The sequence below is a fragment of the Homo sapiens genome, chromosome 1 (genome assembly GCF_000001405.40).
Source record: "Homo sapiens chromosome 1, GRCh38.p14 Primary Assembly".
NCBI classification, from domain to species: Eukaryota; Metazoa; Chordata; class Mammalia; order Primates; family Hominidae; genus Homo; species Homo sapiens.
This window is the reverse complement of record NC_000001.11, coordinates 110,360,318-110,383,551: the sequence shown is the minus strand read 5'-3', so window position 1 is coordinate 110,383,551 and position 23,234 is coordinate 110,360,318. Positions and strand designations below refer to the sequence as shown.

Here is a 23,234-nt window from a genome sequence, read left to right as displayed (position 1 = left end):
TAATAAACTGGCTCATCTGGTTGTGGGTCCCCCTCCACCCTTCCACCCAGAAGTGACTCAGCGCAAAAGGGCAGCTTTGATAGAATTTCATCTCTGACCCAACCAATCAGCACTCCCAACTCACTGGCCTCCCACCCACCAAATTATCCTTAAAAACTCTGATCCCCAAAAGCTCGGGGAAACTGATTGGTCTAATAAACTCCAGTCTCTTGCACAATGGGCTCTGTGGGAATAACTCTTTCTCTATTGCAATTCCTGTCTTGATAAATCAACTGTATCTAGGCAGCAGGCAAGATGAACCCACTGGGTGGTTTATTTGGTATAAATTATTTGGTACACAACATTGGCATGCCTATTCCAAAGCCATGAAATGAGGATTAAATGAGATGTTTCCATTTAAAATGCTTAGCTACTTTAAAAGGAATGACTTCCCCCATAAAATATAAGATGTATAATGAGGCTCAACCAATAAGGCAAACTGGTAAATAGTAGTAAGCTGAGGGAATCATAACTTCTAGTAGCCGTAATTGCCTCTGTAATGGCTCACTTACCACCTGAGTTGGACTCTGGTCTGCTTTGATTTAGGTGAATGTGTTTGTGATGGGGATGACCAAGACTTTTGCAATTTTCTTTGTGGTCTTTCAAGAAGAGTTTGAAGGCACCTCAGAGCAAATTGGTTGGATTGGATCCATCATGTCATCTCTTCGTTTTTGTGCAGGTATAAAGCTGGCAATAAGCTTGCTGTCTAAGGAGAAGAACCACAAAGGGCAATTCCAAGATTCCTATTCAAGACTGAATAGGAATTCAGTTTCTAAAATTAAGGTTCATTTACTGATATGTAACGCTGAGAAAGTAAGGAATTGCAATATTTAGCTTCCACTTGACTTAGTAACAAAGTTGGGAGAATCAGCATTCAAACAAAGAAAGCTGAGGAATTATTAAATGCCATGATTCAGTATTTCATGCATTGCCTTTCCAGTCTGTTAATGCCTTAATATAGGTTCAATGAGTAAGGCCCTCAACCTGGAAGTTAGGCCATGAAGTTCTAGTTATCTAAGTATATTCAAAACAATTTTATTTATTTTTTTTTTTTGAGACACAGTCTCACTCTGTTGCCCAGGTTGGAGTGCAGTGGTGCTATCTCGGCTCACTGCAACCTCTGCCTCCCAGGTTCAAGCAACTCTCCTGCTTCAGCCTCCCAACTAGCTGGGATTACAGGCGCCCGCCACCATGCCTGGCTAATTTTTGTATTTTTAGTAGAGATGGGGTTTCACCATGTTGGCCAGGCTGGTCTCAAACTCCAGACCTCAGGTGATCTGCCCACCTTGGCCTCCCAAAGTATGGGATTAAAGAGCCACGGCGTCCAGCCTCAAAACAAATTATAGAACCAATTTCTTCTCCTTTTATTTGGAGCTGTAACAGGGTGGAAGAGCAGATAAGTGATTCAACCTTATTCTAGTCATTGACCACTAGATGCAATCTTTTTGTGGAGGTTCTATAATGCATTTCAAATCACCTCCCCTCCAAACCTTACTTACAATCAACATTTCCTTTTAAACTCCCCTTCCAAAAACTAAAATAGTGTGGCACTAGTGATATTAAGAAACCCGATATGAAAATCTTTTTTGAAGAATACGTAATACTTCAAAGTAAACAGTCCTCTTGCTTTCCTTGTCATTCATTTAAATCGCCATCAGAGGATAAGGGATGCCAGATCATTATTTACCTAAGAATTGCCTTTCTTTCTTCTCTTAAGGTCCCCTGGTTGCTATTATTTGTGACATACTTGGAGAGAAAACTACCTCCATTCTTGGGGCTTTCGTTGTTACTGGTGGATATCTGATCAGCAGCTGGGCCACAAGTATTCCTTTTCTTTGTGTGACTATGGGACTTCTACCCGGTGAGTCCATTGTAATTATGTGACCATAGAAGGCCAGGAGTGGTGGCTCACACTTGTAATCCTAGCACTTTGGGAGGCCAAAGTGGGTGGATCGCTTGAGTCCAGTTCGAGACCAGCCTGGGCAACATGGTGAAACCCTGTCTCTACTAAAAATACAAAAATTAGCCAGGCCAGTGGTGGCACATGCCTGTAGTCCCAGCTATTTGGGAAGCTGAGGTGGGAGGATTGCTTGAGCCCAGGAAGCTGAGGCTGTTGTGAGCCGAGATTGTGCCACTGCACTCCAGTCTGGGTGACAAAGTGAGACCCTGTCTCAAAATATGTGTGTGTGTGTGTGTATGTATATATGCATCCATCCATAGAAGATAGAAGATGGAACAGGACTCTTCCCTTCTACTGTTCCTGGGTCCAAAAGGCCTAGCTGTATTATCTCGGATCCAGGAGATTATCTTTTCTGTTACCAAGCCACTTAATGTAAGAGTGATTCTAAACTATTACGTTTTTCTTTTAGGTTTGGGTTCTGCTTTCTTATACCAAGTGGCTGCTGTGGTAACTACCAAATACTTCAAAAAACGATTGGCTCTTTCTACAGCTATTGCCCGTTCTGGGATGGGACTGACTTTTCTTTTGGCACCCTTTACAAAATTCCTGATAGATCTGTATGACTGGACAGGTACGTCATTCTAAGTTTATTTACTATCAACTGTGCAAGATTTAGCGTTCAGCTTTCTCCCTTTGAGAAATGGAAGTTAAGACTTTCAGAGCAATCGATTTCACAAGGTATTGCAAGAGAGGAAATGAGCATAATTTCTAAAGTAAACATGCTTCTCTTCCCTGGAGAATACATACGCAAAAGAGATCTTGAAATACTTGCAGGCTTTGCCAGCTCACACAAGCAACTCAGAATTCACCATAGGGCTCAATGTCTGAGGAGATGGAGGGCATTCCGTGCAGCTGGAAACAGCTTGCAGTAAAAGCGATACTTCTGGGGAAATAAGGCTTCCCCCTTCCCCCCCCGCCCCCGCCCCATCAAAAACCCTCACTTTTCCCATTTTCCCTTTAAGACAAAAATCTGCATTTAAAAAAACTCCTCCCCCATCGGACTCACTGAAATAGATAAAAAAGAAACAAATACTTTGGTAAAAAGAGTATGTTCCTTAAGAGTTTATGTAATGTCAACTATAAATTTTCACAAATGAATAAAAAATGATTCAACTCACAATTTTCTTTGTAACTAAGACATTTGGATTAAAATAATCCTAAACTACTGGAAAAAATACATGTATATGTGTGTATTCATATGCCTATTGCTATCTACATGGCAGTTTTGTTGAATCTTTCCTAACTATTCAGTAGTCTCATGGTGAATGGGACCAGCTGACAAATCCATGATAGGATAGCAGAACCTATAGCCCATTCTATCTTTAGAAGCACCATACAAATCATAGCTTTGATCAGGACACGCTGAATGCAAGCAACTATTCAGCTCCAAAGGCAAGATTAGCATCTGTCATCTTTTAAGGAAGATCTAAAAAATGTCATGGGATGAAAGGCTATCCATGCCTTCCTCCCTCCCGCTGCTTTTTTTTTTTTTTTGAGACAGGCTCTCTCGCTTTGTCATTCAGGCTGGAGTGCTGTGGCATGATACCGGCTCACTGCAACCTCCACCTCCCAGGCTAAGCGATCCTCCCACCTCAGCCTCCCAAGTAACTGGGACTACAGGTGCACACCACCACATCAATTAATTTTTTTGTATTTTTTGTAGAGACAGGTTTTCACCATGTTGCCCAGGCTGGTCCTGAACTCCTGGGCTCAAGTGATCTGCCTGCCTCAGCCTCCCAAAATGCTAGGACTACAGGTATGAGCCATAGCACCTGGCCAGCTGTCCCCTCTTCTAAGGCTGTTTCCAAATGATTTCTTTCATCTTATTCTATTTTTTCTGTACCTAAATCTGTACTCTCACTTCAGGATATTTAAATTTTCTATTTAATTTTTTAGCATTTGAAACACTCTCCTCTCCCTCCAAAAACTTGCCCCCCCTACCCCCCTTAACACAAATAACCACCATCTCTCCTTTTATCCCATCTATTGGTGCAGCTTTCTGGTTTTCTATCTCCAAAGCACTACATTATTACACGGATACAGCAGTGTATATGACTAATAAGTCAAATCGGAGACAAAGTAATGTTTTCAAGAATTAATGGGCTATGCCAGTGGGGCCTCTTCTGAGCCTATGAACACAAAGCAGTATTGTGAACTGAAAGGCTATTTTTAATTGCTCAATCTCTCCCTATTTAGGAGCCCTTATATTATTTGGAGCTATCGCATTGAATTTGGTGCCTTCTAGTATGCTCTTAAGACCCATCCATATCAAAAGTGAGAACAATTCTGGTATTAAAGATAAAGGCAGCAGTTTGTCTGCACATGGTCCAGAGGCACATGCAACAGAAACACACTGCCATGAGACAGAAGAGTCTACCATCAAGGACAGTACTACGCAGAAGGCTGGACTACCTAGCAAAAATTTAACAGTCTCACAAAATCAAAGTGAAGAGTTCTACAATGGGCCTAACAGGAACAGACTGTTATTAAAGAGTGATGAAGAAAGTGATAAGGTTATTTCGTGGAGCTGCAAACAACTGTTTGACATTTCTCTCTTTAGAAATCCTTTCTTCTACATATTTACTTGGTCTTTTCTCCTCAGTCAGTTAGCATACTTCATCCCTACCTTTCACCTGGTAGCCAGAGCCAAAACACTGGGGATTGACATCATGGATGCCTCTTACCTTGTTTCTGTAGCAGGTAAGAAAGCCTACATCAGCCTCCTACCCAAAAGGAAAGATCAACTTAATTTTACAAGCTTATTACATTTTAATAAAAAGCTAAAGAAAAACAAAAGAGGAATTGTAGAAGGGCCAGAGAAAGTAAAATTTTTGAGGCTAGATGGAGCACCTGGGCATTTCCCAGGAAGAGATCTCTGTCACTGCACACAGGCTCCCCTACTAGACAGTGGACCCTAAATCAAGTCTTATTCATCTTCATATAACAGTGTTTGACACAGTAGACATTATTTATTGGATAAATGCGGAAATTTCAAAAAGCTGATGCTCAATGGCAATAGCCACTATAAGGAGCAGAAAACCCCAGGTAGACAGCACAGTGCAGTGGCTCAAGGATTGGTTCTGGAGCAAGACTTCCCTGGCTCAACCTCCTGCTCTGTATTTCTTAACTGTGGGAACTTCAGCAAGTTACTTTGCTTCATGGTGCCTTCATTTCCTCATCTGTAATATAGGGATAATAGTATCTACCCTCATAAGATTGTCAGGATCAAAAAAGCAATGCATGTAGAGTTTAGAATAGTGCCTGGCCTGTAGTAAGCATTCAATAATGTTTTATTATTTGTAGCTAAGGAATTTTCCCCTTGAACTCATAGTAAAACAGATAAATATGACTTTTAAGGCTAGTCACTTATGGACTGTCTGATATTTAAAATAAGTTAAAATGTAAATTAAAAGTAAAAACAACTGGCCGGGCGTGGTGGCTCACGCCTGTAATCCCAGCACTTTGGGAGGCCGAGGCAGGTGGATCATGAGGCCAGGAGATCAAGACCATCCTAGCTAACGTGGTGAAACCCCATCTCTACTAAAAATACAAAAAATTAGCCAGGCGTGGTTGCGGGCGCCTGTAGTAGCAGCTATTCAGGAGGCTGAGGCAGGAGAATGGCATGAACCCGGGAGGCGGAGCTTGCAGTGAGCCGAGAATGCACCACTGCACTCCAGCCTGGGTGACGGAGCGTGACTCCGTTTCAAAAAATAATAATAAAATAAAAATAAATAAATAAATAAAAACAACTATTTTAGTTGACTACTCATAAAACTGTTTAAAGACAGAATGCTTGATCTAGAAGAGGGATTTGGCCAGGTGCAGTGGTCCAAAATACAATCTCCCATTTCCAAACTTCCTACATATTTTCAAATTAAGCATAAACTTTGGAGGACTTACTTCCTAAAACTTCGTATGCAATTATGAGTCCCAACATCTCCTTTTTTAACAGAAGACTTATTTATACTCCAATCTTCTACAATATGACTTCCCCAAGACACTGACCTGAAGGTCTATTTGTCTTTTAGAAACTTCATTTTCTCACTTGCAGGACCTCTTAGACGAAGAGACTGCATGGCCTTCTGTGCCCAGGGTCCTCTGTAACCAGGGATTACCACTGTAGTGACGTAAGCTTTCCAAACACAATCAGAAAAAAACACTAACTACATGGGTCTTCTACACTACTCTAGCGGAGACTTTTTTGCTATTTTATTAAATGTATTTGGAATAGGTAAGTATATAATAGAGCTTACTGGTACACAAATCAAATCATTTTTTTCCTCACATATCCTGGCCTCAGGATGAGATCATATTACTTGGGAAATGATGCTGTATGCATTCACATTTTTCAAAGGGACCAGGAAAATAAAAAGATTTCAATATTGTTCCAGGTATCCTTGAGACGGTCAGTCAGATTATTTCTGGATGGGTTGCTGATCAAAACTGGATTAAGAAGTATCATTACCACAAGTCTTACCTCATCCTCTGCGGCATCACTAACCTGCTTGCTCCTTTAGCCACCACATTTCCACTACTTATGACCTACACCATCTGCTTTGCCATCTTTGCTGGTGGTTACCTGGCATTGATACTGCCTGTACTGGTGAGTAGACACACTCATTAACATTGTTAAACCATTTAGTAAAAGCAAGTATCAGTAACAATCTCCCCAAAATACGTATTTTGTATTAATTTTGTAACTTAAAAAATCATTTCAAAGACCTTAGAAACTCTGCAGCTATATCCTGTCCAGTTACTCATCTTGTGTGTGAGTGGGGAGGGATGGTGAGAGGACTATCCACATGGGACAGGAATAAAATTAAAGCAAAAAAGGGATCAGCAGGATTCCTTTTTACTTATCAGTCTCCTAGATTAGGATTGTGTTCACGTCTCTCCTTCAGCTCCAGAAACTTGTTTGGCTCCTTTTAAGACACAATCTTAAAGAAAAGATCCCTGAGAACACTTCAAGAGAAAAAAGGATTTCCCGACCAGTGTGGTTTCTCTCTTGAAGTTATTGCCTTGGTCCTGTGTACTTTCACAGGGCCATTGTTTTATACTTCCTCTCCATTTTTACCCTAAACTGACGCAAAGTCCTCGACCCAGATGGAACCAAAATACTTATACAAACACTTCAGTGTTCTGGGAACCCCTGGGAGTCTCATGGGTTCTCCTTAGAACCAGGACCTAAACATGCTGGAACAGATTTCCTAGAAAACTTCTGTTCTATCAATATTAGCGTAAGTGCTACAGGATATTATATGAAGTGCAGGCAAAAATCAAGCTTCCTAAAGCTGAAATTAACTCCTTGTGATATCTGATTACTTACAAACCAATGGTTGATACTTAGCCTTAGAGGATTCAAGAATATCACCGTCTGGCCGGGCGTGGTGGCTCACACCTGTAATCCCAGCACTTTGGGAGGCAGAGGCAGGTGGATCGCTTGAGCTCAGGAGTTGGAGACCAGCCTGGGCAACATGGTGAAACTCCGTCTCTACAAAAAATAAAAAAATTAGCCAGGTGTGGTGGCACGCACCTGTGGTCCCAGCTACTTGGAAGTAACTGGGAGGATCGCTTGAGCCTGGGAGGTGGAGGTTGCAGTGAGCCAAGATCACACCACTGCACTCCACTCTGGGTGACAGAGTGAAACCCTGTCTCAAAAAGAATATCACTATTAATTCATATTGTAAATATCATTTCCTAATAAGAGAAAAGCAGCAAGGTTTGGGGAAGAAAAAGTACCCATGAACCACCTAAAAAATTAAAATGAAAATAAAAACTTGTGTTCTTACTAATAAACTGAAAACACTGCCTGCCTAGCATTTACTGTTCGCTATTAGTCCTCAGCTCTTTCACAATATTGGGGGCAAAAAGCCAACCAACTCACCCCAGAAGTCACTGTTCATAGCTTGAGATGATATAAATAGTATTTGTCCCTTTTAGGCATAGGTCTCTATAGAATTTCACCCTTAATATGGCTAACACTGAATTCTAATTCCTACAGGTTGATCTGTGTAGGAATTCTACAGTAAACAGGTTTTTGGGACTTGCCAGTTTCTTTGCTGGGATGGCTGTCCTTTCTGGACCACCTATAGCAGGTAACACCTTCACCACATTCTGAACAAATTTCAATAGCAATAAAAGAGAAAAACTGATCCAGGATTAATGGTAACATGTAATGATGGTATCAGGTTAAAAGAAACAGATTATTTCTGCTTTTCCTATATCTACTCACTCCACCACCAATGCAGGAAAATCTGAAGGCTCAGATTCTTGTATTATCTTAAGATGTGCCTTAAGCAGATTCTTATATTCTTGGGAGTTGTAGGGCAGACACTGGATCTATGTCTACTTGTCTGGGGAGACAATCCAGAGTTTTTTCAGAGCCTCAAAGACCCATGATGCTTTAAAAAAAAAAAAAAAAGGCTGGGAGCAATTGCTCACGCCTGTAATTCTAGCACTCTGGGAGGCCAAGGCGGGGGTATCACTTGAGCTGAGGGGTTCAAGACCAGCCTGGGCAACAGACAGACCTTGTCTCTATAAAATAAAAAACAAAACAAAACAAAACAAAAAAAACAATGAACGACTAGCATCTTGTATCTAAACATGAGTCACTTTTATAGAGCTTGAAAGGTATAGGCCTGACACTTTTGTTCTTCTGATGTGCCATATGGATGTCCAAGATTGCCTGTTATCTGTTAAGTATCTCTCTTTGAAAAGAGGCCCTTCAAATTGTCAGTACCAAGGATGGGAGGATACTTGGCCTAAAGGCCCCATCTCTATGGAGAGGATATTGGGGGCTGTTGGAAATTATTATATACAAGTACAGTAAACATTTGGGGAGTTCTGATATGTAAGTTAACTTTAAGATTCAAATTGTAGTTTTACATTCACTTTTTACCTAATTAGACATTCTGTACTTGCTGAATATTTAATCTAATACTATTACAAACTTGAATACTCACACAGAAGTATTTCTAGGGAACAGACCTAAACTTTAGTTTCTCACACACCACAGGTTCTCAATGTATTTCAGTGTACAAATTACTATGACATTTCTAATCATCCACATAAAGGAACTTAGCCTAAAACTTACTTTTGCTTCTTTTAGTCCTGAAGTAAGACAGAAGGGAGTTAATCTTGTCCTACTATCATTTTTTAAAAAATTAAGTTTCATAATGATGTTAAGTTTATACCTCTTAAGACTGAGAAAGGGGCCAGGCGCAGTGGCTCATGCCTGTAATCCCAGCACTTTGGGAGGTCCAAGTGGGTGGATCACCTGAGGTCAGGAGTTCGAGACCAGCCTGGCCACCATGGTGAAACCCGGTCTCTACTAAAAATACAAAAATTAGCCGAGTGTAATGGCAGATGCCTATAATCCCAGCTAACTTGGGAGGCTGAGGCAGGAGAATTGCTTGAACCCGGGGGACAGAGGTTGCAGTGAGCCGACTTCACTTTGCACCACTTCACTCCAGCCTGGGCAACAGAGCGAGACTTCATCTCAAAAAAAGACTCAGAAAAAGTAAATATTAAAAGAAGGAGACTATAAACTAAGGATAACAAGAATTGTTACTGAGAGGGCCTGGCATAGTAGCTCACGCCTATAATCCCAGCACTTAGGGAGGCCAAGGTGGGAGGATTGTGTGAGTCCAGGAGTTCCAGACCAGCCTGGACAAGATAGTGAGGCACCATCTCTACAAAAAAATTTTAAAAATCAGCCAGGTGTGATGGTGCATACCTGTAGTCCCAGCTACACGGCAGGCTGAGGCAGGAGGATTGCTTGAGCCCAGGAATGAGTGCAGTGAGCCTTGATCATGCCACTGCACTCTAGCCTGGGTGACAGAGTGAGACCCCATCTCAAAAAAAAAAAAAAAAAAAATTATTACTGGGAACAAAAAATATGCCAATAGCTGAGGTTCAATTAAGGCATACTTATTCTAAAGAAAAAATTTACATAAATATGCAACCAACTCTCTTATTTGCATTTATGAACACACCCCTTCCCATGCTATCTAACACTTAGCCTACGTTTCATACCTGGAAAGCAGGCTAGAATTATAAAGTAAAGCCCAGAATTTTTATATAGGGACTAGTAAAAGGAGGCCAAATACCAGAAGTACCTTGCACAACTACTCTATGGCTAGTACCCAGGACAGTGAAATACAGAAAACAGAGCTCAAACACAGTTTGCTGATGCATTTTTTTCAATCTTGATCCTTCTTCATTGGCTGTCCCAGTAGTGCCTTGGAATTTTTCAAGCCTATTGGGCCAAAAGTACAAGGAAGTAACAAATACAAGGGCATAGAATATCTTACTCAAATGAAAAAGACAAGCAACAAAACTATAACATGTTTAATGTCCTATGTGTCTTTGTATACTTCTTAAAATAAAATGTTTAAATAGTTCAATACTCCGAGAAGACAAGTCAAATTTCTGAAGACCATTACCTGAAAAGAAAAAGCTACAGGTATATATGTGAGTTCTGAAATAAATTTGTTGGGTCATGATCTCATTGTTTTTATGGAAAAAGATAGACTACCACAGAGCAGATTAAAAAAGAGTATATCACTTTATTTTCAAACTTTTATTTCATACACACACACACACCTATGTAATGTAAAATATGAGATATAAAATACTTCTGTCAATGAGACAAAAAAAAGTTAACAAGCTTTTGTTAGCCCAAATCCAGTATAGCCTAGCACCATACGTGAGGATAAAAAACTCATAATATATTTTTTACCCATTAATTCAGAGACTATTACTTAGGCAGCCATACATTCTGTAAGCTCTACAAAAAAGTCAAAGGAAGCTATAAGGTTGTTGCTAAAGCTTATGTAGAAATTTTTAGTCCAGGACGTGCTCCTAGTATCTTAAACAAGATTCTAACTGCAATGCTGTGCCATTAGCCATCTGTTGAAGAAAGAAATCACAGGAAAGCTTTGTTCCTCTAAGTCATTCCTCCGTGAAATGACAGAGGACATTACAAAGGCCATTAGATTTGTTCCTAACTTCTGACTCCAGCAGCAACTACCAAAGAAACATCAGAAATGTTGATGTACAGATCAACTCAGTTCTTGCAGGTGTAGGCAGAACTGAGTCTTTAATTGAATCAAAAGTCTTTAATTGAATTTACTGGTGATGAAACATTAAATTCTCAACCAAACTTAGATCTTCAGAACTGTATGAGATTCTCATTTTTTACTTACCTAAATCTGTTATTACCAAATTGCAAAAGTTGAAACTCCTATAAAAGAGTATAGGCATTTTTAATTAGGAATCTAACAAAAGTAAAACTTTTCATAATAATCTTCAGTCAAAACACTAGTTAAAAATGGTAACATTTCAGCCATGCTCTTGTAGATCACACAGACAAAAAAAGGTAACACATTACATGAACAATATTTCTCTCCTTCCTGTATAAAAATAAAAAAGAAAACAATATTAGTTCTATGCAACATATTTTAATAATTCAAGGAAAGCAAAAATAGCACAAGAAATTCATAGAACCATATTCTTATTTTTTTTTAATATAGAGAATACGGGCAAGAAAATTACACACCTCAATTGCTTACATTTCTTTCATGAATTTAAGAAAGCAACAAAATTCTTTATAAGATCTTTGCTGAAACTGAGAGATTGAAAGGATGAAAGTTAAAACTTACCGGTCCCCACACCTCCTCTGTAAGACAATGCCCTGCTCACCCACTCCACCCCAAAGTCCCTTCTTATTCCAATACTCAGTGACAATTTCAATTTTAATTAAAAAATATGGCCTGCATTAGAGTAGGTGAGTTTTAGGATTGTTCCAGGTTCCCTGACCAGGGTGGTGAGTAGACCTACGTGTAGGCCAAATGTCACACAGCTCATCCAAACCCAACTGCTGCTTTTGCGGTTAGATGGCACCCAGAGCCACACACTGGCACAAAGATGGAAGCCTTGGAAGGCTGTGGAAAAATGAGAAGTATTGATATTTTAAGCCTTATTTCTCACAGACCCCTGTTAACAGAAGTAAACCTGCAAAAAGCAATATAAATACAAAAATAGTGCCTTGGGCAGAAAAGCAAGTATATCTAATCACATTCTCCAACATACAGGGCAGATGTAAGCTACTTACATGAAATTCCTACTCTTCCATTCAAGGCATTTGACATGAAAGCTCAAAATGCTCAAGGCTCAGTTTCATTTTAAAATAAAACCAAAGGACCATATTAGTTGCCTATAAAATAAAAACTGAATGCAGTTCCCCACTTCTCCATATTCCCCTCTTTCCCAACTGACAAATGCATACAGTATGCTAATATACATATATAATCATTTATTTAATCACAAATATCTTCTGAAAACTCCCTAAAACACTATAAGTAATTATTTGATTACTTGGTAATCAAGTGACTATCAAATAAATATTTGAAACTTAGCATTCATTCAATAACTGTCAAGCAAATCACTAGCATAGTACTGTTATATGCTATGTGGGACACACAGAAGATAAAAGTTACTCACAGTCCTCACATGACTCACCAGGTCGTGAAACATTATTCACTCTGCCACATACACTGCCAGGACTTCATACTAAGAACAGTCTAGAACCTCTACAACTGTGAATTATTAGAATCTGTATCCTTCTTCTACTTCATTAACTGAACACCTGATTAAGCCACTGTAGCCCATCACCTTATTTTCTTACCTTTAATTGAAGACATTCTGAGTTGTGGGATAATAAAATGACTTTAAAATATGTTGAAGTTTAAGTCAAGGCAGGTATTTCACGAGTATTTTTCCCCCACCAAGCCCTAGAAAAATCATTTCTAACGCCAAATAGTTGTAAGTCAATTGTACTCCAGCATATGTTAAAGTCAGCTAGCTCCTAAAGAAGTATGTCTCTCTCTATTATTTACCGATCTCATCAGAAATACCATGGAGTGAGACTGGTAATTTTGCACCAAGTCTATTTGTGTTTTATGGAAAAAGGTAAGTGCTAAAATATATATTCATTCATCTAAGCTCATCTCTGTCCCATTATCACAGAAAAGTCATCTCCTCATGAAATGATAGGTCATTTCCTATCTATCCCATCCTCAATTTCAGATACAGTATTAAACAAAAATTCCATCTGGTCCTCGCTCCACTATTACCAATCCTGACCTCTAGAGTTTTATCAGTCACCTTGGCCTATCAATTGCGAATTTCTCTATGGCCTAAAATTTTACTTGGAAAACACACTCTGGAGGTTGGGGGTGAGTGGGGAGAAAGTGAGAAGGCAGAGCAAAGCCCTGTCCTCTATATGTTCTGTGGGGGGAAAAAAAGGCTAAAAAAAAGTAAATATTTTATGTATCTAGTGATTATTTTCCCCATAAACTACAAAGCCTTACAGATTTTTACTTTGATTCAGTTTTCCTAAGATTGATGAATACCTACAAAGCATCAAAAATAAATTCCAAATAGCTCTCTATTGTGGTTTAAGAAGAGGAGTTCTTCCCTTTTATAACACACTTTGCAAGGCCAAAGAATCCAGCTTCCACATCCTAATAGACACCACAATCCTTTTAATAAAAATTACAGCACAGAGCTAATACTTGAAGCATTCCTAGTAAATCTTATTGCAAATTTCTATCAAGGAAACTTTACTGAGTTCCCATCTTAAAAGGCCCTGAAATTTAAATTTGCTAAGCCAAGTTTCCCAAGATTTTTCCGATCATGGCACATATAGAAAATATTTGCACAATACACCCAAAGTAAAAGAACAAGATTGCCAATAGCCAGCTGGTGGCTCCAGTGGCCCCAGGGATGAGAGGAAAATTGTCTTTGCACACCTTGGAAATTTGCCACTATGCTACAACCCAACCACAGGAGTTCTGATTCAACTCTGACCAGTCACCTGCAGAATTTTCAACCACTTTAGAACTAGCACCAAGAAACTTTGGAATTAAGGACCTTCTAAGTTTTTTGTTTGTTTTTTGTTTTGAGATGGAGTCTCCCTCTGTCACCCAGGCTGGAGTGCAGTGGTGCAATCTTGGCTCACTTATCCAGGTTCAAGTGATTCTCCCACCTCAGCCTCCTGAGTAGCTGGGACTACAGGCGTGTGCCACCATGCCTGGCTAATTTTTTCTATTTTTAGTAGAGATGGGATTCACCATTTTGCCCAGGCTGGTCTCGAACTACTGAGCTCAAGCAATCCGCCCACATCGGCCTCCCAAAGTGCTGGGATTACAGGTGTGAGCCACTGCACCCGGCCATGTTAAGTTTCAATAAGATGACCAATAGTAAACTTACATAGTAATCCTAATAAAAATGATTCATGACTGGGCACAGTGGCTCACGCCTGTAATCCCAGCACTTTGGGAGGCTGAGGCAGGTAGATCACGAGGTCAAGAGTTCAAGACCAGCTTGACCAACATAGTGAAACCCCGTCTCTACTAAAAATACAAAAATTAGCTGGGCGTAGTGGTGTGCACCTGTAATCCCAGCTACTTGGGAGGTTGGGGCAGGAGAATCGCTTAAACCCAGGAGGAGGAGGTTGCAGTGAGCCGAGATTGCACCACTGCATTTCAGCCTGGGCGACAGGGCGAGACTCCATCTCAAAAAAAAAAAAAAAAGATTCATAACTTAGCTTAACAATCAAGTTCTGAGATTCTGAGATGTCTGAAGGTATGAATACTTTTTAGACAGGATGCTAAATTCCTTTTGAAACATGTATGGCCTAACACATAAAATAATGTGGAATAGTTTTAAAATATTAACACTTAAAAAATGAGTTCAGAATCCTATATTAAATATCTAACTTGAATGATTATTCTTATTCCTTTTTAACTGACTGTAAAAAAAATGGTTTGCACCAGTATTTAAAGAAGCTCAGCCCAATCTTCCTATTTGTTTTAAATTATCACAGGAAACATTACTAGACATTTCTGCCTAAAACAAGTCCTATAGCCATAGATATAAGAAAAGAGTCTGGACTAGTAACTTCAAATACAATAATTATTATTGTTAAATAATAATTTTACTGTGCGTAAGAATCAACTGAGTGCCACCCAGGATGGAGTTATGCTTGACAGAATCCAGTGAATCTGCATTATTAACATGCATCTCAGGTAAATCTGACGCAGGTAGCCTGTAGACACCAAGGAAATGCTTACAGAGGTCTTCAGCTTAATAATTCTGCATCAGCTGCCAGTTTATTCCTCAGAGTGCTGGCTACATACAGTAATACCAGGCATAGAGTGAACATTCAGATACATGCACATTATCCTAGATTATAACTGGTATGTAATCTTGTCTTTCTCTGACGTTCACAATGCTTATGCTATGACCACAAAGGAATCTAGTCTTTTGAATGTCAACTTATGTGTGTGCTTCCATTTAAAATGGTGAGAATACAGTGGCTTCTGAACTATCAACAATACTTTCTTTTAAAAATATTTACTTGGCTGGGCGCAGTGGCTCACGCCTGTAATCCCAGCACTTTGGGAGGCCGAGGCGGGCAGATCACGAGGTCAGGAGATCGAGACCATCCTGGCTAACATGGTGAAACCCTGTCTCTACTAAAAATACAAAAAATTAGCCGGGCACGGTGGCGGACGCCTATGGTCCCAGCTACTCGGGAGGCTGAGACAGGAGAATGGTGTGAATCCGGGAGGCGGAGCTGGGAGTGAGTGGAGATTGCGCCACTGCACTCCAGCCTGGGCAACAGAGTGAGATTCCTCTCAAAAAAAACAAAAATTTACTTAGAAGCATTAAACCGTTTAGGGTCCGAAGTGCATCTGAACAGATTTTTCATCCTGTTACCAAAAAAATACAGAGATCTAATAAAATCAGACACTCGTTCTCTCTCCCTATATATATATATTTTAAATTTTTGAGACAGGCTCTCCCTCTGTTGCCCAGGCTGGAGGGCAGTGACACAATCACAGCTCACTGTAGCCTCAACCTCCTGGGCTCAAGTGATCCTCCCAACTCAGCCTCCTGAGTAGCTGGGACTACAGGCATGTGCCATGACACCTGGCTTTTTTTTCTTTAACTTTTTCTTTATTCTTTTCCAATATTTTTCTAAATTTAATTTTAATTTTTGATAGAATAGGGACAAAGTCTGACTGTGTTGCCCAGGCTGGTCTTGAACTCCTAAGCTCAAGTCATCCTTCTACCTTGGCCTCCCAAAGTGCTAAGATTATAGGCATGAGCCGTCACGCCTGGCCAACACCCAGCTAATTTATTACTTCTTTTTTGTAGAGATAGGGTCTCACCACATTGCCCAGTCTGGCCTTGAACTCTTGGGCTCAAGTGATCTGCCTGCCTTGGCCTTCCAAAGTGCTAGGATTACAGGCATGAGCCACTGTGCCTGGCCAATCCTTTTACTTTCAGCAGTAGAGAATGGCTAGTTATTCCAATCAAATAAAGTAGATGTTTCAATAGCAACGAAGCTCAAAACTTAACTAACCTAGTAGCCACTTAAATATAAGCTTGATTTTAACAACTAATACTTTCATAAAATAATCAGTCATATGTATATTTCTGCATCCTACATTTTACCTCATATTTGCTAGTATAAACAGCATCCTAAAACTAAATACTCAGCTGTATACTATTATCCTATTGAATGGCAATTGGATCTTAATTTAGAATCTAAAAAATACAAATATCTCAATGATCAAATATGACTGGGAGAAACAAATTTACAACAATTATTTCATCCAGGTTTTATTTCACCTAATTTTGCATGGAAATACATAGAAATAATTCTAAAACATGCTAAACAATTCCCCGCCCTGGTAAGAAAATATATTAAATATAGTCATGAGTTATTTAACAGGGATACATTCTGAGAAATGTGTTAGATGATTTCATTGTCATATGAACAGTATACCTACACACACCTAGGCTATATGGTAGAGCCTATTGCTCCTAGGCTACAAATCTATACAGCATGTTACTGTGCTGAGTACTGTAGGCAACTGTATCTAAACATAGAAAGATACTCGTGTATCCAAACAAAGTATTCATGTATCTAAACATAGATACAGTAAAAATGCATATCATAACCTCATGAGGTTTGTCCTGTTATGTGCCACATGACTATATTTTAATACTTAATGTTTCAGAAACAGCATTCTAAGAGTGAGTGAAATCCAAGCACTTTAGAAGGCTGAGGCAGGCGGATCACCTGAGATCAGGAGTTTGAGACCAACCTGGCCAACATGGCGAAACCCCATCTCTACTAAAAATACAAAAAAATGAGCCGGGTGTGGTGGTAGGCACCTATAATCCCAGCAACTCATGAGGCTGAGGCAAGAGAATCACTTGAACCTGCGGGTCGGAGGTTGCAGTGAGCCGAGATTGCGCAACTCACTCCAGCCTGGGCAACAGAGCGAGGCTCTGTCTCAAAAAACAAAAAAAAAAGTGAGTGAGTGAGAGAGAGAGAAAGAGTGTGTGTGTGTGTGTGTGTGTGTGTGTGTGTAAAATGAAAGGCTTGGTCGGCATGATGGCTCACACCTGTAATCCCAGCACTTTGGGAGGCCAATGCAGGAGGATGACTTGGGGCCAGGAATTTGAGACTAGCGTGGGTAACTTAGATCCAGTCTCTACAAGAAATTTTAAAAAAAGAAAAGAAAAGAAAGAAAAGGCTTATAAACAGTTTTTCTCTTCAATCCATTTTTACTATTTTTAGCTGTGCTATCTGACATTTTAGTAGCACTGTCTACCTTTTTGTCCAAGAATTCCTAGTCTTTCCCCAGGGTGTTACTTCTGAGACCACTATTTTATAATTCACAGGTTTTATATATACACATATACATACACAGACACATACACTCTAATACATTTGCTGTGTTGGCAGGACTAAGGCAAGAATGACAAGGGATGGGAGGGTAAGGACTGCTACCTTCTATACTCCTTCCTTTCTAGAAATGTCTACAAGAGTTCAGAGACTAGTCACCTATTTCTTAGAGATCTATAGGTCAATAACAATCAACATAACACAAAGACTTGTCCAGTTGTTTTCACTCCAGTAACTCCAAGAAACATTTAATAGAGGTCACTAATCAAACAGGAGTCAGTAAGTAAAAAGCAACTTAAAGTTAGTTGAACTTAAGAGGTTATAAAACATTCTATTCACTTATTTTTTACATTAACAATAGGAAACACAGAGCTATAAAACAAAAATAAATTAAGTCAATTTTTTCTGGTCTGCTTGTCTCATCTCCTCTGTGTCCATAACAGAACAAAGAGGAGATGAAACAAGCAGACCAGAAGAAAAAGGTGGGGGAGGGTATACTCTACATATCCAGTGAGGCATCATGATCTAAGATAGAAGGGAAAAATCAAAGACACAATGTAAGCTCCATGAGGGCAGATATTTTCATCTATTTTGTTCAGGGGTATATCCCTGAAACCCAGACCTGTGCTGCCATACAGCACTGAAATTTCTTGAATAAGTGATCAGATATAATATACATACTATACTTTGGAAAAGAACTTCTCAAAGTGAGGTCAACAGACCCCCAGAGATCCTTGAGACCCTTTAGGAAGTCCAGGAGGCCAAAATTATTGTCATGATAATACTAAGGACATTATTTGCTTTTTTCAGTGTTGACTTTTGCAATGATGTGCCTTAGCATAAATATTCTTTGCTATCACCTACTCAGTTAAAAAAAAAAAAGAAAAAAAAGTGTTTCGCTTAAGTTTTAGTATGTGCCATTAGCCAAAAGACTTTGAAGACCCTCCAACTTATGCTTTTAAAAAGCACTTAGGACCAGGTGCAGTGGCTCACGCTTATAATCCCAGCACTTTGGGAGGCCGAGGTAGGCGGATCACTGGAGGTCAGGAGTTCAAGACCACCCTGGCCAACATGGCGAAACTCCGTCTCTACTAAAAACACAAAAATTAGCCGGGTGTGGTGGCGGGCACCTGTAATCCCAGCTACTTGGGAGGCTGAGGCAGGAGAACTGCTTGAACCCAGGAGGTGGAGGTTGCAGTAAGCAAAGCAGAGATCGTGCCACTACACCACTCCAACCTGGGTGACAGAGCAAGCCTCTGTCTCAAAAAAAAAAAAAAAAAAAAAGCATTTAGATTTCAGGGGGGAACTTGTCATTGTTTAACCCACGTGATCAAGCAGTCAGTTCCTTCTCATATCTTCTGATAGCCTCCTGCACCTTCCCTTCATAGCACTTATCACATATCATTTATGTGGTTGGTACCTATCTCCCCACTAAAGTTCTGTGAGGGCAAGGACCGTATCTGTTTTGGCTCACTAGTGTATCCTCAACACCTAGCAATATTAACAGGAATATAGTAAGTACTCAAGTCTTTGTTTAGTAAAGGAAAAAAAAGAAAACTGATTATTATCACTTCTTTTTTTCTCTGGAAAACAATAATTTATGATTATTTTCTTCATAATAGCGGCCTTCTAATAAAATTCATGGTAAAATAAAACGGTATGTGTTCCTAATTTTCTCCAACTTCCACTGTAAGATTGGAGATGGTGTAAGTCCCTAACTCAGGTGGAGCTGATTCAACTTCATCAGTGAAAAATAGGGCAGCTAAGAAGCTTCACTAAGTTCAAATGGGTCACAATACAGGAGGCTCCTTGCTTTGAGGAGCTATTCATGGCTGAGAGTTACTAATGGCAAAATTTCCTTCCCTAACAGAAATCATTCCTTCCTTCCAGGCTGGTTATATGATTATACCCAGACATACAATGGCTCTTTCTACTTCTCTGGCATATGCTATCTCCTCTCTTCAGTTTCCTTTTTTTTTGTACCATTGGCCGAAAGATGGAAAAACAGTCTGACCTGAAAGAAAGAAGACTGCAATCAAGTGAGAGCTAAACAAAAGAAAACCTAAACTAATGTCATTGGAAACAAAAGCTTGAAAGAAACACATCGCATCTACATTTGTAACATGAGAAGGAAAACAATTTTTTTTTTTTTTTTTTTGAGACGGAGTCTCGCTCTTTCGCCCAGGCTGGAGTGCAGTGGCGCAATCTCGGCTCACTGTAATCTCCGCCTCCTGGGTTCAAGGGATTCTCCTGCCTCAGCCTCCCAAGTAGCTGGGACTACAGGCACACGCCACCACACCCAGCTAATTTTTTGTATTTTTAGTAGAGGCGGGGTTTCACCATGTTAGCCAGGATGGTCTCCATCTCCTGACCTCGTGATCCGCCCGCCTTGTCCTCCAAAGTGCTGGGATTACAGGCATGAGCCACTGGGCGCGGCCAGATAAGTTTTTAAGGTTCCTTCTTGCTTTAGCATTCTGAGAAATGTCTAATTGGTAGTAAGACAAGAGTAATAGCAACCTGTATTGTTAGTATTTAACCAAATAGGCTAAAATTTTAATCAGGTACCTTATGTATTAAATAGAAATCGGAATGTACCATAATAAATCCAAACTCTCAATTACGCCATGGTAATTCAGTCACTAAAATATGTAAAGATAGAAAATTTTTTAATTTAAAGAAGTGTGAAACATAGCCATTGATTGATCAGAATTCTGGAATCTGAATATTAAAACCTTACTTAGTGACTGGAATGGTATATGCTCCCTCCAAAAGTTTATCTTTGTTTATTGATTAAAGGTAATCCTTACTTTCTTTGTATTACTTAGGTTCTTAATTAAAGGTAATCCTTACTTTCTTTGTATTACTTAGGTTCTTAAATTTCTATGATAAACATGTATTGCTAAATAATAAAAAGTATATAAAAATTGCTTTAAAAACTTCTTTATTTCAAGATCATCTGAACAGCAATTTTGCCCATCAAAGCGTTATTTTTCTGCTACATCTAATTAACAAAATATTCACACTAAATATTGAAACGTCTCTTTACAAGATTTACATGAAAGTTGAATAGGTGGTTTTAATGGGAAATATGTTTAAATTAAAAGATGTTTCTTATACCACCAACCTCCCTTAGCATCTCCTTCTGAATGCTTTTTTTTTTTTTTTTTTGAGACAGGGTCTCACTCTGTCGCCCAGGCTGGAGTGCAGTGGTATGATCTCAGCTCACTGCAAACTCCGCCTCCAGAGTTCAAGCTATTCTCCTGCCTCAGCCTCCCAAGCAGCTGGGATCACCGGCATCGGCCACCATGCCCAGCCAATTTTTGTTATTTTTAATAGAGACAGGGTTTTACCATCTTGGCCAGACTGGTCTCAAACTCCTGACCTCAAGTGATCCACCCGCCTCGGCCTCCCAAAATGGTGGGATTACAGGCGTGAGCCTCCATGCCTGGTCCAAAATGCTTCTTAAACTATTACCATCATCGTTATTCCACTCTTCCATTCCTCTCTGCTTTAAAATGTCTATTAACAACTTACAGAGAAAAACTCTAGAAGACTGGTTTTAGCTCCATACCCTGTCACTGCCTATGTATGCCTTCTCTACCAGGCACCATTTCACTTTTCACTATCTGACTCACTCAAAGGCTACCTCCTTTGGAAAAATCTTCCCCAGCATTGTCATTCTCATCTGGAATCCTATCTAACTTTTAACAGAGTACTACATGAACTCACATGTCAATCCTTTCCATTAGTCTGCAAGATCAACAAGATGAATGGGGTTTCATTCATCTTTGTATTCTCCAAGGCCTAGCATAAGCTTTGGAACCAAATTAATCTCGGTTCAAATCTCAGTTATGTTAAAAAACAGTAGTTGATCCTATTTAAATATGGTTTTTATGGCTTTCTGACTAAAGCAAAAGAAAAAAGAAAACTGGTTTTCTGACTTAAAAAAAAAGAAATATCATTTTTACATTTAGATGTGGATGTCTAATATTTTTACATTTTACATGTAAAAAAAATGAAAAAAAAAACCACCCCTTACACATACAAACAGCAAAAATAGTTAACTAATAATAAATATCAGCTCTGCCACTTGTTACCATATGCCCTCATGAAAGTTACTTAAAATTAACTTATCTGAGACCCAATTTCCTGCTCTGTAAAATGAAAATACCACCAACCCACCTCACAGATATACTGTGAGGACTAAACCCATGAAAATATACTTGTGCCGGGCATGGTTGCTCACACCTTCAATCCTAGCACTTTGAGAGCTGAGGCGGGTGGATCACTTGAGGTCAGGAGTTCAAGACCAGCCTAGCCAACATGGTGAAACTCTGTCTCTACTAAAAATACAAAAATTAGCTGGGCACAGTGGCGCACGCCTGTAGTCCCAGCTACTTAGGAGGCTGAGGCAGGAGAATCGCTTGAACCCGGGAGGTGGAGGTGGCAGTGAGATCATGCCACTGCACTCCAGCCTGGGCAACAGAGCAAGACTCCGTCTCAAAAAAAAAAAAAAAAAAAAAAAAGAAAAAGAAAATATACTTATACCAGGCAAAATGCCCTTCATATATAGTAGCTGCTAATGTCCATTCTGCTTTCATGTCAAAACAAAAAATAAAAGAAATCAATGATTTTATGAACCACTTTCATTAATTCCTTCTTCTCTTTAGAGTAGCAATTATTTTTAAAAGGGACTTCAACTACCTAGAGCAACCTGATCCTTCCTCCTAGCTAAGCAAGCTGTACATTTTAAGTGGGACCAACTAAAGAACTCCAAATTGAATTCTTAGGTTTTATGAATCTCATGCAACAGAGAAGTTCTTTATCCTACTCAATAGTAATAGGCCCTCTAAACCTGGGTGGTGTGAATTAAGAAAGCCTGAATCCCAAGACTACAGAAAGCTAACGACTTCTATAACTAACGCGTTCATCATATTAACAATTAACTTATGATGTTCCTGTTCATTTACTGCTATGTTGTCATTTTTGTGGACAATAAGATGCCATATAAAACATTTCTAGGAATCCATAATGCAGGAATATCATCCCAGCTATATATGGAGTTTCAAGAAAAGCATAATAGTTGCTGATTTTTTCTTCCCCCTCAAGAGATTCCATAAAACAAAGAGGAAACAAATATTACACAACTTACATATGAGTAAGTGCGCTTGGGGCAGTAGGGTGGTGAATAACTTCACTTCAACATCTAATAATACACCAGTTACTGAGGTAGACACATACCTTTTTTAAAAAAATAATTTTCTTTCAAAAAATTTTTATTTGAGACCAGGTCTCGCTCTGTTACCCAGGCTGGTGTGCAGTGGCACAATCACAGATCACTGCAGCCTCTACTTCCTGGGCTCCAGTGATCCTCCCACCTCAGCCTCCCAAGTAGCTGGGACCTCAGATGTGCACCATGCCTGGCAAAGTTTTGTATTTTTGGTAGAGACGGGGTTTTGCCATGTT

General features: G+C 39.5%; 1 protein-coding gene across 12 annotated transcripts in view; it reads left to right on the top strand.

Annotated features, from left to right (window-relative positions):
• Positions 1 to 20,695, top strand: part of SLC16A4 (solute carrier family 16 member 4) — a 28,170-nt gene extending 7,475 nt beyond the window's left edge. For 2 of the 12 annotated variants that reach the window (NM_004696.3, XM_005271317.6), the window contains 7 exons: positions 586 to 718; positions 1,757 to 1,900; positions 2,409 to 2,570; positions 4,196 to 4,699; positions 6,391 to 6,602; positions 8,001 to 8,094; positions 19,659 to 20,695. In NM_004696.3, coding sequence (NP_004687.1) covers positions 586 to 718; positions 1,757 to 1,900; positions 2,409 to 2,570; positions 4,196 to 4,699; positions 6,391 to 6,602; positions 8,001 to 8,094; positions 19,659 to 19,786 — 1,377 coding nt within the window. In that variant the 3' untranslated portion in view covers positions 19,787 to 20,695. Of the gene's footprint in view, positions 1 to 585; positions 719 to 1,756; positions 1,901 to 2,408; positions 2,571 to 4,195; positions 4,700 to 6,390; positions 6,603 to 8,000; positions 8,095 to 19,638 lie in introns of all 12 variants that reach the window. The other 10 variants (NM_001201547.2, XM_047433967.1, NM_001201549.2 and 7 more) reach the window with 7 other exon arrangements.
• Positions 20,696 to 23,234: the final 2,539 nt, after the last annotated feature.